The sequence below is a fragment of the Homo sapiens genome, chromosome 4 (genome assembly GCF_000001405.40).
Source record: "Homo sapiens chromosome 4, GRCh38.p14 Primary Assembly".
Lineage (NCBI taxonomy): Eukaryota > Metazoa > Chordata > Mammalia > Primates > Hominidae > Homo > Homo sapiens.
Window position 1 is genome coordinate 123,783,688 of NC_000004.12, and position 16,171 is coordinate 123,799,858.

At 37.2% G+C, this 16,171-nt stretch overlaps 1 long non-coding RNA gene across 2 annotated transcripts in view, besides 2 other annotated features; it reads left to right on the top strand.

Moving 5' to 3' along the window:
- LINC01091 (long intergenic non-protein coding RNA 1091) overlaps positions 1 to 16,171 on the top strand; it is a 280,788-nt gene that overhangs the window by 133,697 nt on the left and 130,920 nt on the right. The window lies entirely within an intron of this gene.
- Positions 1,001 to 1,170: an enhancer, noted in NCBI's record as "experimental_72756 CRE fragment used in MPRA reporter constructs". NCBI's record gives its function as "activates a minimal promoter by MPRAs in K562 erythroleukemia cells, with activity observed for both the introgressed and non-introgressed 4:124705928 or rs17007390 variant alleles {active_cell/tissue: K562}" and the evidence as "EXISTENCE:reporter gene assay evidence [ECO:0000049][PMID:34662402]".
- Position 1,086: a transcriptional cis regulatory region, noted in NCBI's record as "Neanderthal adaptively introgressed variant 4:124705928 (GRCh37/hg19 assembly coordinates) or rs17007390 in the experimental_72756 CRE". NCBI's record gives its function as "modulates activity of the experimental_72756 enhancer by MPRAs in K562 erythroleukemia cells {active_cell/tissue: K562}" and the evidence as "EXISTENCE:reporter gene assay evidence [ECO:0000049][PMID:34662402]".

Sequence of the window (16,171 nt, forward strand, 5' to 3'; positions counted from 1 at the left end):
GACAGTATACTAGTGTTTTATTTAATTCCTTCAATAATTCAGTGAGGTGCTTAACGTTAACATCCCTGTTTAACAGGAAAAAAAAAGAGGGGTAAAGTCACTTATTCAACTAGTCTTAAAGGAACTTTGAACCCAGTTTTTCCTGACTTCAAAACCCAAACTCTTTTCAACTATTCTGCCATTAAATAATGGTACTGTGGTGGGCTTATTGCCAAGTATGGAGGGTTTAGAGCAAGTGCATGACAATACCAAAGCAGAGTTCTTTTAGAATAATCAAATGCTGCTAACTGGGTGTGTGATTCTGAGGGAGACAGCCTATTTTCATGTCTGATAGAGTTCCTTTGAATGGAGAATATGGAAGATCCTGTACTTTATTAGGTGGCCCTCTCTACTTTAATTATCCTGATGCCTGTCCTCTGAGTCTTTCTCATTCTCCTCTCTTGTCTTAATCCTGATTTAAAAGGAGGATAAGAAACATAAGCAGATGAATAAAAATAGCAGCCCAGGAAGCTTTGCATTGATTCATTCTACAAATAGTTGTTAAATAAATACATGTGCCAGACACTATTCCTGATCTTTTAAAACTTGTGTTCTTGTGTGTGTGTGTGTGTGTGTATGTGTATGTGTGTGTGATGCACATAAATAAACTATTTGATCATCAATAACTTTTCACAGTAGTATCTTCTCACACTAGTGAACATTTTTGGGGTAGTTTTGGTACAGGCATTTAGGTTGATTTTTTTTTCCTTACAAAGTTCCTGGTAAGTTTGGAGGCTGGGAGTTTGATTATAGAAGGTATTATTAGTGCCTGTCTCTTAATTGATCAGAGGTTTTGCTATACTAAAATGACCGTTCTTAAAAAAGTGTTTCCGAAGATCTCTCAAGCTTTATAAACCTTCATTTTTGTACATGTTGTAACTGTTTGCTGAAAAATTCATTCTGTAGGTGGCTGAAACCTCCAGGGGGCTATGCACTGGGTGAGAGAAGTGAAATAGGATGTGGTAGGAGAGTAAATGGCAAAACAAGGGAGAGGAAAAAACATCCTAGTTTTCTTCTGCCTGGAAATAAACATGCAGGAAGCTTTAATATCAGTAGCAGCTGTAGATTTTTTTTAAGTTAAAAGTTTTGGAGATAGTTGGAAAAACAAAAACAAAAACAAACCACATCTGGAAACATTTCAAGCAAAGGCAATGTAAAAAATGTGTTGGATGATATATTAGGAGAAGAGCTGGTTGCAAGTAACACTAAAATTTAAAATGAGATCACTTATTTCTCTCTTATTTTATGCCTGGAGGAAAGAAATACAATGTAAGTGATCAAGGCTTTGTGGAGCAAAGCCTCAAGGATCTAGGTGCCTCATTGCTTGGAGTTTTACTACATAAGGCCTCTATTTTTAAGATAACGTCAAGGTCCAAGAAGGCTGCTTCAGCTCTAGCCATCACATCACTTTCCAGGTGGCAGGAAGAAGAAAGATGATGAGCCTACTCTCTCCCTTTAAGGTTATTTGGCATAGGTTGCATGTATTACTTCAATGTGCATCCAGAATTTAGACAAATAGTCACAACTAGGTGCAAAATGGCTAGGAAATAAGAGTATTTCAAATACCCAACTAAAGTTCAGGGATTCTATTACTATAGAAAATGAAAAAATAATTAGTGACAACTATTACAGTTTCTGCCACGGATAACTTTCACTTTTCTCTCTGTCCCAAGTCTTACAAGTCTATAATTTTAAATCCAGTCTGAGCATGTTTTCAATGAAACCTATTCTTTCCAATTTGTTTCTGAGTAGCAAAAACACTTTCTAATGCCCTGAGACACATTGCAGGTGAAGAATGGAATTAGGAAAAAAAGGAATGGCAAATGGATTTTCAACTTGCTCTGGGCATCACTAAAATTCCACAGAAACAGTAGCATCATTTCAGCATGACCAGTTCCCCTCATTCACAATGACTTTAATGTTGCAAAACAATTCAGATTCCTCAGGCACCTGGCAGCTGCGTGCCTGACTCAGTCTTTCAAATTGAGACACAGTTGGGACCTCAACTCCTGCTGCCTGACCTGCAGAGCATTTTCCTCTCCGTAGTTTTAGGAGGTGTCATCAGCCCAGTAGGGGAAACTCTTGGCAAACCCAAGGCGTTTTCCTTCCAGAAACTCAATGATCCTGCCTCTGTGAAAGGGCCAAATTTGTCAGTGGGAAAAGAATTTTAAGAAGTATCATGAAATAAACTGTGTTGCCATGCTCTGAATATTGACCCTTAGTAATAAAAGGTTCTTACATTTTCAAACATGGCGTTGGAGTCATCTCTTTAAATAATTAGCAAGAAGGGAGACAAGATGCAGGAGTTCACTTGGCTCTTTGAAAAGGAAAACTTTAAAGTCAGGTACGTTGGAAAAAAGTGAATCAAAACATAGGTACCTATAATCTTTCATAGTAAAATATTGGGGTTATTTTTTCTAAGATCCTACATGTGAACAAAAGAGGAGTGCCACAGTCTTGTATGTGCCTATATAGATGATATTTATTCTTAGGCATTTTTCAAGTTAAATATTTATTACTACTAGAGAGTTGCCCTGTTCTTCAATTATTTTTTTTCTTGGTCTCTTCCCTCACACAATTTAAAAATGATCCAAATGTTCCACTCACTGAGTGTGGGAAGACATAGAACAGAAGGAGGGGAAGAATGACAGAAACTCAGTGAAGGCCTTCAGAACCGTTTGCCAAGAAACGTTTTGGAGAGGTTAATGATACTTGAACACTAATGCTCTTCAGTTGCTTTTACCTTGAAGACATCCAGCTACTGTGTGTAGTTTAAACTACCTATCTACAAGCAGCAATTCTAATTATCATTGCCTCTTCTTATACCCAGAAATATTTGGCTGGATCAAGTTAGTTCTCAGATGTTGGTCAGTTTTCTGAGTTTTAAAAAGCGTTACTCATTACAACATTTGGAGCCTCCATTCTTTGTCCTTTACGGACATGGTAATATCAGTTTCCAAATTCAGAACTGTGACAGCATTCCGGTGGAGTATCCAAACTTGTTTTTATAGTCTTGGACAGAGAAGAAAAGAAAACATACTGGATAAAGTATGAGGAGTTTTTCCTTCTGCTAAACTCCCCCCACCTCCCGAACTCAACCAGAAAGAAACAAAATTAAAAACAAAGGAACCAGAAAATAAATGTGTGTCTGGGAATCTGATGGATTAGTTTCCTCCTAATATACCTGCTTCAGTAAATGCTTGCAGGAGAAATGTTTGCCTGTTCCTCAAATGTCATAGCTTTCCTTTGGTCTCTCTGGGTGGATCCAATTTCTCGGCAGTGTGATGTATTCCTTGTTGTTTCCAGTATTTTCAATGAACAGGAATCATCTGGTATATAATCCATGGCTGGGCTGAAGGCTGAGTGCAGCTGGCCACAGCTGTGCTAGAGTAGCCTGAGAAGAGAACTGCTCATATAAGGTTGTTTAAGAAGGTATTTGCAAGTGGAGCAGACAATGGGCTCGGTGCCAATCTCAGTCAGTGACATGGGTTAACCTTCTGTAGGCATTATGTGGTCATTGGTGGCCACAGAAGTGGACTTGAAAAGAAAGTGGAGTGTTCACTACCCGATGGCCTGTTTCACAGCTGAGTTTCAACCTCTTTGTGGCCAGATGAGCCTAATATAGTAAAAACTTTTTCATTCATTCTCGCCTTTTAAAGCTTTTCACTACAAATTTGTCTTTGGAGAAGTCTTAGCAGTGACACCACTTTTCCATTAATATTGGAGTGTATATTTACATGGACTCTTTAAATAATTTGTGTCTGATTGATTCTGAAAAGCATGCAATGTCTTTTGTGTGGGAAGAGCTAGTTCTTATAGAGTGCAAATTCATGGCATGCGGATGCTCTGGGGCAGCAGGAGAGCAGGAATGATTAAGACAAAAAGAACAAAGAGGATGAATTGGCAGAAAGGGCTTGGAGGGTATGTTTGGCTTTAGACAGACTAAAGGAAGGACACTGAATTCATAGAGTAAGGTGGTGTTGGGTGTCATTAGTTAGAAAGGAAAAGGTCAAGTCCCTAGAAAAAGCTATACGCTAGCAAGAATTCTCCAGTACTAAGGAATTAAACAGGCGGGGCCTGGACTCAAGAAGATGTAGGGGTCCCTGGATGGAGGAGACACTGAGACAATCTTTTGGCAAAACAGAGGATGTTTTCATTTTTTCCTTTTTTGTACTGATGACTGTGTGTAGGTGCTTGCTGCCAAAGGGAGAATTGTGGGCTGTCCCCTCCTGATTTAGCAATGCCAGAGGTAGTCAACCTTCTGAGAAGAACTTATACACATCTACTGTGAAGTTGGTAGTGGCTCTGTGATTCTCTTATTTTGAAAATTCACTGCCGGGTGAGTTTTAGAAGTTCTTTAGTACTTTACTTAAAATTTTCCCCCCAAATTAGCAGGGAATAATTTAAAATCATTTTCAAAATTCAGAGAAGTGGTTAAAGATTGTTTACCCTACCCACTGCTTTTCTTGCAACTGAATAAGACAGCGTATTAGGAAAAATGAAGCATCAGAATTGAACAGTACTTACTAGGAAGTTCAGTGTGTTCTGTGGTATTGTAGTGTACATTTTCCTGAGAAGGCTAAATAAACCAAGCCCAACTGGCATGCGTAATAAAACAAAAAATTGATATTGTAGTTAAGGAAAAAGCTATGAAGATAAAGGCAGCTTGAGATAGACATTTCTTGATGGCATTAACAAAGGTAGTACAGCTTGAGCTAAGTCTCTTAAACTATACTGCTAAGTAGTGTGGGAGGTAGTGGCTATTCCCTCTATCTACTGCTCTCTTTTTCTCTCTGTCTCTATCTCTCTCCATATTTTCAGAGTAGTGGACAAGTGTGTATGATGAGTACAGGTGGAAATTTGCCTGCAAGCCCAGTGAGAGGGTCAGCACCTTCCCTGATTAGGTCAAAGCCAACAAGGATAAGGGGCAGGACAAGTTCTTCCCTCTTGATGGGTGCCCTGAAGGTCCAGGACTTCAAGCAACTCAGGCCAAGAATTTGCTTTCAGTATCCTTTATACAAATAAATACAGTTAAATTAGATGGGCTGGTCATACTGTTCATTGAGCAATAGCAGTTCTACTCCTTTACACACACTTAACCCTCTGTCTTCATATAAAGAACTTCCTTTTAAATTCATGCCTCAAAAAATTATAAGAGTTTCATGCATCTTTCAAAAATGAGTGCTCATTGACTGCTTTTGTGTACACTTTACCAAACTCTTAACTTATGCAGTAGGAAAAATTTAAAAGACATAATTCTTGCCCAGTGAATGTCTTAACACATATAGTAACCTAAGGTATGTATTCCAGTATAAGAGCTATAGAAAAAGTAACTATGGGCTAGAGTTAGGGGAATTAGAAAGACAAATTTTTATGAAAACCAAACATTATATATACCAAGTTTTCATGGGCTCTGGTGTCTGATTTTTTTTCTGTGCACCTTTCTTGATATTGTTAGCTATAGATACTTAGGCATGGGTTGATAGATACATATACAGGTTGAAAGTTGATACACATTCTTATTTGTTTCCCACAATTGTTTTCTCTTAATTTAACGAGGCCACCAAAACCAGTGGGGAAAAGCCAATGTGGAAATTTTTGAAAAAAATCCCACATATAGTATTCACATTTTGAATGAGAAAACCCAGAGGAAAAAAAGGTGCTCAATACATGGGGGATGATGGAAAAATATTTTATTATGACGTGGCCTTGACCAGGCTACTATTTTTGCTGGACTAGAATGTGTTTTGTTATAATTTTTCATTTTATTTTATTTTATTTTATTTTACTTTAAGTTCTGGGATGCATGTGCCGAACATGCAGGTTTGTTACATAGGTATACGTGTGCCATGGTGGTTTGCTGCACCTATCAACCTGCCATGTAGGTTTTAAGCCCCGCATGCATTAGATATTTGTCCTAATGCTCCCCCTCCCCTTGCCCCCCACCCACTGACAAGCCCCGGTGTGTGATGTTCCCCTCCCTGTGTCCATGTATTCTCACAGTTCAACTCCTACTTATGAGTGAGAACATGCGATGTTTGGTTTTCTGTTCCTGTGTTAGTTTGCTGAGAATGATGGCTTCCAGCTTCATCCATGTCCCTGCAAAGGACATGAACTCATTCTTTTTTATGGCTGCATAGTATTCCATGGTGTATATGTGCCACATTTTCTTTATCCAGTCTATTATTGATGGGCATTTGGGTTGGTTCCAAGTCTTTGCTATTGTAAATAGTGCTGCAGTAAATATATGTGTACATGTGTCTTTATAGTAGAATGATTTATAAACCTTTGGATATATACCCAGTAATGGGATTGCTGGGTCAAATAGTATTTCTGGTTCTAGATCCTTGAGGAATTGCCACATTCTCTTCCACAATGGTTGAGTTTTGTTATAATTTTAAATCTCTCTTGATCTCCCTTATAACTCCATTATGACACCTTTTATGGTCTTTAAAAATTATGCAGAAATACATACTGCATGCTATTCTGTATTTAGGTTGGCTGGGAGAGTTTTAGGCAGAAAACTTGCAATTTTTCCACTAGGTTTTGCTGTTGGAATTACAGAAATTCTCTTTCTTTGTTACCAAATATGAGCCAGAAGGCTAGAACCCTGGCTGATGGCATGGCACCAGCTTTCATGGGGCTACATACCCACTAGTATTTAATGAATTGCATTCCTGTGGACACGAACCAAACAGGATACTTAATTTGATTACTTATCAATTGTCACAATTCTTTCATTCTAGGTGATATGGCTGGCTTATAGGTATCACCAGTACATTCATTCTACACCTTTATCCTCTTTTTTACATCCCAAAGTATAAAATAAACATGAAAAAATTATTGGACTGTTGCTATGGAGAAAAAGATCTTTCTATATATCTTTGTAATAGAAATGCCCAGTAAAGAATTGTGCCTGGGCATTTTTTTCATTTGGAGCAATTATATGGAACATCCCTTAGGTTTGATTTTGTGTTTATATCATAATGCATAGCCAAGTGTTGATACTGTGCCTATGTGGAGTCCAGATATCGTTCTGCTGTTAATGACTATAACATGATGTGAAGGTTGAAACCAGAAAGTTCACTTTTGCAGTCTGAAAGCAGCTGCCAACAGATGAGGGTAACAGAGCAAAGCTTGCCTCCAGCCTCCATGGTTTCTGCTGCCAGAACATTCTTCTTCCATTACTTCATATGGACCAGATAGGACCAAAGGTGCTCTGAAGATATCCCCATGTTTCCTACTAATAAAAAGAGCAGGATATCAACTTACACATTTATTGCAACCACATAGTATGTGTTAAAAACTTGCTAGGGATGTTTAGCTTTGTAAATTACAGCAGCTTCTCAAACTTTACTGCATCTGCAAATCCGTGGAGATTTAATGGATCTGAGGTGGCACCCAGATATTCTGCACATCTAACAAGCTCCCAGGAGATGCTGATGCTGCTGGTCTGTGCACCAAACTTGTGTAGCAAGGAACTGAAGCATAATACTGAAGTGACCCTGATGCCAGGTCTAATAACAATACCAACAATTTTTCTCTGACCCATAGAGTTGACTACATTCTGTGTCTTAGTTAACCTCCTAAATATTTGCTGTTGGCCAGGGGGAGGACCTGGTGGTGATAGGAGAATGACTGGACTTGGTCTACAGGGTATGTAGAATGGTATTGGGATAGCCCCTATACTCCCATAATTCCTTAAGCTGTATCAGTTCATGAAGTCATTTGTATTAATAGTCAATTTAAAATGTTAGCTCTTAGATTAAATTAGTTTAGTTAGTTGGTTTGTTCAAAACAGGAAATTGCTGGTAGGAGAGAGGGGTTGAGAGAAGCATGGGATGAGACTAAGAGTTTAAGAACTGGAAAAAATGAGGAAAGGTATTTTGGAGTATATGACATTTCAGAGAATAAACAACTTGCAAGGGACAAAGGACAATTCAGTGGAGAATGAGAGTGAGGTTTGGCTGGCCCAGTGGGGATTAGGGTATATAGGCAGCCAGGTTGGAGTAGTTAGTCCTGGTACAGATCAATAATATCACTGATGACCAGCTCAGAATGCACATTCCATTGGTGGTGACCCAACTGCAACAGCATAATTAAACAAAACAAAACAAAACAAACAAACAAAAAACTAACGAAACATTATTTCTTTTCAGGTGGATCTCTTCTGGTTTAGCAAGGAAGAAAATATTTCTCAGGGTTTATACCTGCTTGCAAGTTGGGAATTCCAGAAATCTCTTACTTTCTAGACCAGTGCAGTACCCTATTTTGAAAAGGCAGAGGGATTAATTTTCAAATTTATGTGTTTACACTGGTTTGATTTCAATGGCCCCAGGGTGACTTGAATAATTGAAAAGTAATATTGTTCCTAGAAACTTTTGGAAGACAAAAAACATTAAAAAAATATTTTGACCATTGTGTACCTGGAATTCTTGACCTTAGTAGATCTGGTGCAGTTAGTGGGCATGGAATTATTATAAATCATTGTTTTCCACTTCAAATAGATTTTAAAAAAACTATTTTCATTTCCTAATTATTTTAAGTTCATTAAATGTCTAGCCTTCTTTATAAATCTATAATTACATAACCCTAGAATGAATTTTTTTAAATTTTATTTTTATTTCAATGGTTTTGGGGGAACAGGTGGTTTTTGGATGCATGGAAAAGTTCTTTAGTGGTGATTTCTGAGATTTTGGTGCACCCATCACCTGAGCAGTGCCCACTGTACCCAAAGTATAGTCTTTTATCTCTCACCCCCCTTACACCCTTCCCCCTGAGTTCCCAAAGTCCACTCTATCATTCTTATGTCTTTACATTCTCATAGCTTAGCTCCTGCTTATAATTGAGAACATACGATGTTTGGTTTTCCATTCCCGAGTTGCTTCACTTAGAATAATGGTCTACATCCAGGTTGCTGCAAATGCCATTATTTCATTCCTTTTTATGGCTGAGTAGTATTACATGGTATGTATATACCACATTTTCTTTATCCACTGGTTGGTTGATGGGCATTTAGGATGGTTCCATATTTTTGCAATTGCGAATTGTGCTGCTATAAACATACGTATGCAATTGGCTTTTTCATATAATGACTTCTTTTCCTCTGGGCAGATACCCAGTAATGGGATTCGTGGATCAAATAGTAATTCCACTTTTACTTGTTTAAGGAATCTCTACACTGTTTTCCATAATGGCTGTACTAGTTTACATTCCCACCACCAGTGTAAAAGTGTCCCCTTTTCACCACATTCACACCAATATCTGTTATTTTTTGATTTTTAACTTATGGTCATTCTTGCAGGAGTAAGGTGGTGTCTCATTGTGTTTTTGATTTGCATTTCCCTGATAATTAGTGATAATGAGCATTTTTTCATATGTTTGTTGGCTGTTGGGATATCTTCTTTTAAGAATTGTCTGTTAATATCCGTTGCCCACTTTTGATAGGATTATTATTATTTTTTTTCTTGCTGATCTGTTTGAATTCCTTGTAGATTCTGGATATTAGTACTTAGATGCATAGTTCACAAACATTTTCTACCACTCTATGGCTTGTCTCTTTACTCTGCTGATTCTTTCTTTTGCTGTGCAGAAGCTTTTTCATTTAATTAGGTCCCATCTATTTATCTTTGTTTTTGTTACAATTGCTTTCGGGTTCTTTGTCATGAACTCTGCCTAAGGCAATGTGTAGGAGAGTTTTTCTGATGTTATCTTCTAGAATTTTTATAATTTCAGGTCTTTTATTTAAGGTTTTGATCCATCTTGAGCTGATTTTTACATAAGCTAAGAGATGAAGATCCAGCTTCATTCCTCTCCATGTGGCTTGCCAATTATCTCAGCACTATTTGTTGAACAGGGCGTCCTTTCACTGCTTTATGTTTTTGTTTGCTTTGTCAAAGATCAGTTGGCTGTAAGTATTTGGCATTATTTCTGGGTTCTGTATTCTGTTCCACTGGTCTACATGCCTATTTTTATACCAGTATCATGCTGTTTTGGTAACTATAGCCTTGTAGTATAGTTTGATGTTGGATACTGTGATGCCTCCAGATTTGTTCTTTTTGCTTAGTCTTGCTTTGGCTATGCAGGCTCTTTTTTTGGTTCCATATGAATTTTAGGATATCTTTTTCTAGTTCTATGAAGAATGATGGTGGTATTTTGTTGGGAATTGTATTGAATTTGTAGCTTGCTTTTGGCAGTATGGTCATTTTTAATGACATTTATGACAATATTGATTCTACCCACCCATGAGCATGGGATGTGTTTCCCTTTGTTTGTGTCATCTATGATTTCTTTCAGCAGTGTTTTTTTGTCTTCCTCGTAGAGATCTTTCACCTTCTTGGTTAGGTATATTTCTAAGTGTTTTATTTTATTTTTGCAGTTGTTGTAAAAGGTTTTGAGTTCTTTATTTGCTTCTCAGCCCTTGGTCGTTTTTGGTGTAGAGCAGTACTACTGATTTGTGTACATTGATTTTGTATCCTGAAACTTTACTGAATTCATTTCTCACACCGAGGAGCTTTTTGGATGAGTCTTTAGGGTTTTCTAGGTATACAATCATATCATCGGCAAACAGTGACAGTTTAACTTCCTCTTTATTGATTTGGATTTTCTTTAGTTCTTTTCTGTCTGATTGCTCTGGCTAGACCTTCCAGTGCTATGTTGAATAGAGGAGGCAAAAGCGGGCATCCTTGTCTTGTTCCAGTTCTCAGGGGGAATGCTTTCAACTTTTCCCAGTTCAGTATTATGTTGGCTGTGTGTTTGTCATAGATTTTTTTTGTTTGTTTGTTTTTTTGAGATGGAGTCTTGCTCTGTCGCCCAGGCTGGAGTGCAGCGGCACGATCTCGGCTCACTGCAAGCTCTGCCTCCTGGATTCATGCCATTCTTCCACCTCAGTCTCCCTAGTAGCTGGGACTACAGGCGCCCACCGCCATGCCTGGCTAATTTTGTTTTTATATTTTTAGTAGAGATGGGGTTTCACCGTGTTAGCCAGGATGGTCTTGATCTCCTGACCTCGTGATTCACCTGCCTTGGCCTCCCAAAGTGCAGGGATTACAGTCATGAGCCACCACACCCGGCCAGATGGTTTTTAGTACATTGAGGTGTGTCCCTTCTATGCCAATTCTTCTGAGGGTTTTAATCATAAAGGGGTGTTGGATTTTGTCAAATGCTTTTTCTGCATCTATTGAGATGATCATATGATTTTTGTTTTTAATTTTGTTTTTGTGATGTATTACATTTATTGGCTTGTGTTTGTTAAACCATCCCTGCATCCCTGGCATGAAGCCCACTTGATCAGCATATCTTTTTGATATGCTGTTGGATTTGGTTGGCTAGTATTTTGTTGAGAGTGTTTGCATCTATATTCATCAGAGATATTGGTCTGTAGTTTTCGTTTTTGGTGATGTTCTTTCCTGCTTTTGGTATTATGATGATACTGGCTTCATATAATGATATAGGGAGGATCCTTTCTTTCCCTATCTTTTGGGATGGTTTCAGTTAGATTGGTACCAATTATTCTCTGAATGCCTGATAGAATTCAGCTGTGAATCCATCTGGTCCTGGACTTTTTTTTGTTGGCATTTTAAAAATTTCTGTTTCAATGTCACTACTTGTTATTGGTCTATCAGAGTTTCTGTTTCTTCCTGATTTAATCTAAAAGGGTATATATTTCCAGGAATGTATCCATCCCCTGTAAATTTTCTAGTTTGTGTGTGTAAAGGTGTTCATAGTAGGCTTGAATGATCTTTTATATTTCTGTGGTATCAGTTATAGTATCTCCTGTTCCAGTTCTAATTCAGCTTATTTGTATCTTTTCTTTTCTTGGTTAATCTTGCCAGTGTACTATCAATTTTATTTATCTTTTCAAAAAACAAGTCTTTTGTTTTATTTATATTTTATATATTTTTTAATTTTATTTAATTCTGCTCTGATCTTTATTTCTTTTTTTCTGCTGATTTTAGTTTTGGTTTGTTCTTCTTTCTCTAGTTCCTTGAGGTGTGACCTTAGATTGTCTATTTGCACTCTTTCAGACTTTTTGATGTAGGCATTTAATGCTATGAACTTTCCTCTTAGTAACACTTTTGCTGTGTCACAGAGGTTTTGATAAGTCATGTCACTATTATCGTTAAACTCAATGAATTATTTAATTTCCATCTTGATTTCACGGTTGACCCAAAGATCGTTCAGGAGCATATTATTTAATTTCCATCTACTTGAATAGTTCTGAGGGTTCCTTCTGGAGTTAATTTCCAATTTTATTCCACTGTGGCCTAAGAGGGTACTTGATATAATTTCAGTTTTCTTAAATTTATTGAAACTTATTTTGTGGCCTATCATATATCTTAGAGAATATTCCATGTGCTGATGAAAAGAATGTATATTCTGCAGTTATTGGGTAGAATGTTCTCCAAATATCTGTTAAGTCCATTTGTTCTAGGGTATAGTTTAGGTCCACAGTTTCTTTGTTGACTTTCTCTCTTGATGACCTGTCTAGTGCTGTCAGTGGAGTACTGAAGTCCTCCACTATTGTGTTGCTGTCTATCTCATTTCTTAGGTCTTGTAATAATTGTTTTATAAATTTTGGAGCTCTTGTGTTAGGTGCATATTTATTTAAGATTGTGATATTTTCCTGCTGGGCTGATCCTTTTATCATTATACAATATCCCTCTTTGTTTTTTTAAACTGTTGTTGCTTTAAAGTCTGTTTTGCCTGATATAAGAATAGCTACTCCTACTTGCTTTTGATTTCCATTGCATGGAATATCTTTTTCTACCCCTTTACCTTAAGTTTATGTGAGTCCTTATGCATTAGGTGAGTCTCTTGAAGACAGCAGATACTTGGTTGGTGGATTGTTATTTATTCTGCCATTCTGTATCTTTTAAGTGGAGTATTTAGGCCATTTACATTCAATGTTAGTATTCAGATGTGAGGTACTGTTTTATTCATTGTGCTAGTCATTGCCTGAATGGAATACCTTTTTTTTTTCATTCTGTTATTGTTTTATAGGCCCTGTGAGATTTATGCTTTAAGAAGGTTCTATTTTGGTGTGTTTTAGGTTTTGTTTCAAGATTTAGAACTCCTTTTAGCATTTCTTGTAGTGCTGGCTTGGTAGTGGTGAATTCTCTCAGCATCTGTTTGTCTGAAATAGACTTTATCTCTCCTTCATTTGTGAAGTTTAGTTTTGCTGGAGGCACAATTCTTGGCTGGCAATTATTTCACTTGAGAAGGCTGAAGATAGGACCCTAATCCCTTCTGGATTTTAGGGTTTCTGCTGAGAAATCTGATGTTAATGTGATAGGTTTTCCTTTAGAGGTTACCTGATGCTTTTGCCTCACAGCTCTTAAGAGCCTTTCCTTTGTCTTGACTTTAGATAACCTGATGACTATGTGCCTGGGTGATGATCTTTTTATGGTAAATTTCCCAGGTGTTCTTTGAGTTTCTTGTATTTGGATGTCTAGATTTCTAGTGAGGCCAGGGAAGTTTTCCTCAAGTATTCCCTCAAATATGTCTTCCAAACTTTTAGATATCTCTTCTTGCTCAGGAACACAGTTATTCTTATGTTTGGAGGATTAACACAATCCCACATTTCTTGGAGGCTTTGTTCATTTTTTAAATTTTTCTTTCTTGGTCTTTGTCTGATTAGGTTAATTTGAAAGCCTTATCTTTGAGCTCTGAAGTTCTTTCTTCCTTTGTTTGATTCTATTGTTGGAACTTTGCAGTGCATTTTGTATTTCTCTTGGTGTGTTTTTCATTTCCAGAGGTTGTGATTGTTTTCTCTTTATGATATCTGTTCCTCTGGAGCATTTTTCATCCATGTCGTATATTGTTTTTTAAATTTCTTTAAGTTGTTTTTCACCTTTCTCTGGCATCTCCTTGAGTAACTTAATAATCAACCTCTGAATTCCTTATCTGGCAATTCAGAGATTTCTTCTTGTTTTGAGGCCACTTTTGGGAAGCTAGTGTGGTCTTTTGGGGTTGTTATAGAACCTTGTTTTGTCATATTACCAGAATTACTTTTTAATTCCTTCTCATTTGGGTAGACTATTTCAGTGGAAAAGTCTGGAACTCAAGGGCTGCTTTTCAGATTTTTTTATCTCATGGGGTGATCCCTTGATATGGTGCACTTCCCCTTCCCCTAGGGATGCAGCTTCCTGCAAGCCAGACTGCAGTGATTATTATTAATCTTTTGGGTCTAGCCACCCAGTGGGGCTACCTGGTTCTGGGCCAGTGCTGGAGAATGTCTACAAAGAGTCCTCTGATGTGGTCTGTCTTCAGGTCTCCCAGCTGTGGACCCCAGTAATGGGATTGCTGGGTCGAATGATATTTCTGTCTTTAGGTCTTTAAGGAATCATCACACTGTCTTCCCCAATGGTTGAACTAATACACCAACAGTGTATAAGTGTTCCTTTTTCTCCACAACCTTGCCAGTATCTGTTATTTTTTGCCTTTTTAATGATAATCATTATAACTGGTTGTGATGGTATCTCATTGTGATTTTGATTTGCATTTCTCTAATGATCAGTGATATTGAGCATTTTTTCATATAATTTGTTGGCCACATGTATGCCTTCTTTTGAAAAGTACATGTTTGTGTCCTTTGCCGACTTTTTTATGGGTTTCATTGTTTTTTCTGGTAAATTTGTTTGAGTTCTTTATAGATGCTAGATATTAGATCTTTGTTGGATGCATAGCTTGCAAAATTTTTCTCCCATTTTGTAGGTTGTCTGTTTACCCTGTTGATAGTTTCTTTTGCTGTGCAGAAGCCCTTTAGTTTAATTAGATCCAACTTGTCCATTTTTGCTTTTGTTGCAATTGCTTTTGATGTCTTCGTCATGAAATTTTTGCCTGTGCCTATGTCCTGAGTGGTATTGCCTAGGTTGTCTTCCAGGGTTTTTATAGTTTTTGTTTTTACATTTAAGTCTTTAATACATCTTGAGTGAATTTTTACATATGGTGTAAGGAAAGGGTCCAGTTTCAGTCTTCTGGATACAGCTAGCCAGTTATCACAACACCATTTATTGAATATGTAATCCTTTCCCCATTGCTTGTTTTTGTCAGGTTTTTCGAAGATCAGATAATTGTAGGTGTGCAGTCTTATTTTTGGGTTCTCTATTCTGTTCCATTGGTCTATGTTTCTATTTTTGTACCAGTACCTTGCTGTTTTGATTACTATAATTCTGCAGTATGGTTTGAAGTCAAGTAGCATGATGCCTCCAGCTTTGTTCTTTTTGCTTAGGAATGCCTTGGCTATTCAGGCTCTTTTTTGGTTCCATATGAATTTTAAATAGTTTTCTCTAGTTCTTAGAAAAATGTACATGGTAGTTTAATGGGGGACAGCATTGAATCTATACATTGCTTTGGGCAGTATGGCCATTTTAATGATATTGATTCTTCTTTTTAAAAAGCATGGAATGTTTTTCCATTTGTTCTTGTTATCTCTGATTTATTTAAGCAGTGGTTTGTAGTGGTCTGAAGATCTCTACAAGGAGTAGAGATTGTCACCTCCCTAGTTAGCTGTATTTTTAGGTATTTTATTCTTTTTGTCAACAGTTTTCTTTTGCATATTTCCTGTTTCTATTTTTCCTGCAGGCATAAGCTTTTCCCTCTCAATGTTGTACTTTCCTTTCTTAATTTTGTTTTTTAACAAAATTTGCTCAAGTTGTGTTGGCTTAGGTCTTCTGGTCGTTGACTTACCCTTGATACTGCCTTGGGTTCACATTGTGGGGCCCTTTGATTATCATGTAATTATAAAACGGAAGGCAATATGTCAGCGTGGTTTAGGTTTACATTTCTCTGATGACTAGTGATGTTGAACATTTTTTCATATATCTGTTGTCTATTTGTGTTTCTTCTTTGGAGAAATGTCTATTTAAGTCTCTTGTATAATTGCTCTGGCTAGGAGTTCTAGTACTATGTTGAAGAGAAGTGGCAACAGTGGGTATCCTTGCCTTGTTCCTAATCTTAGAGGAAATGCTTTCAGTTTTTACCATTGAGTATAATATTAGCTGTGGCTTTTTTGTATGTGGTCTTTATTATGTTGAATTAATTTCCCTTTATTCCTACCCAGTTGAAGGTTTTTATAACAAAAAGGTGTGCAATTTTATCTAATGTTTCTTCTGCATTTATTGAGATGATA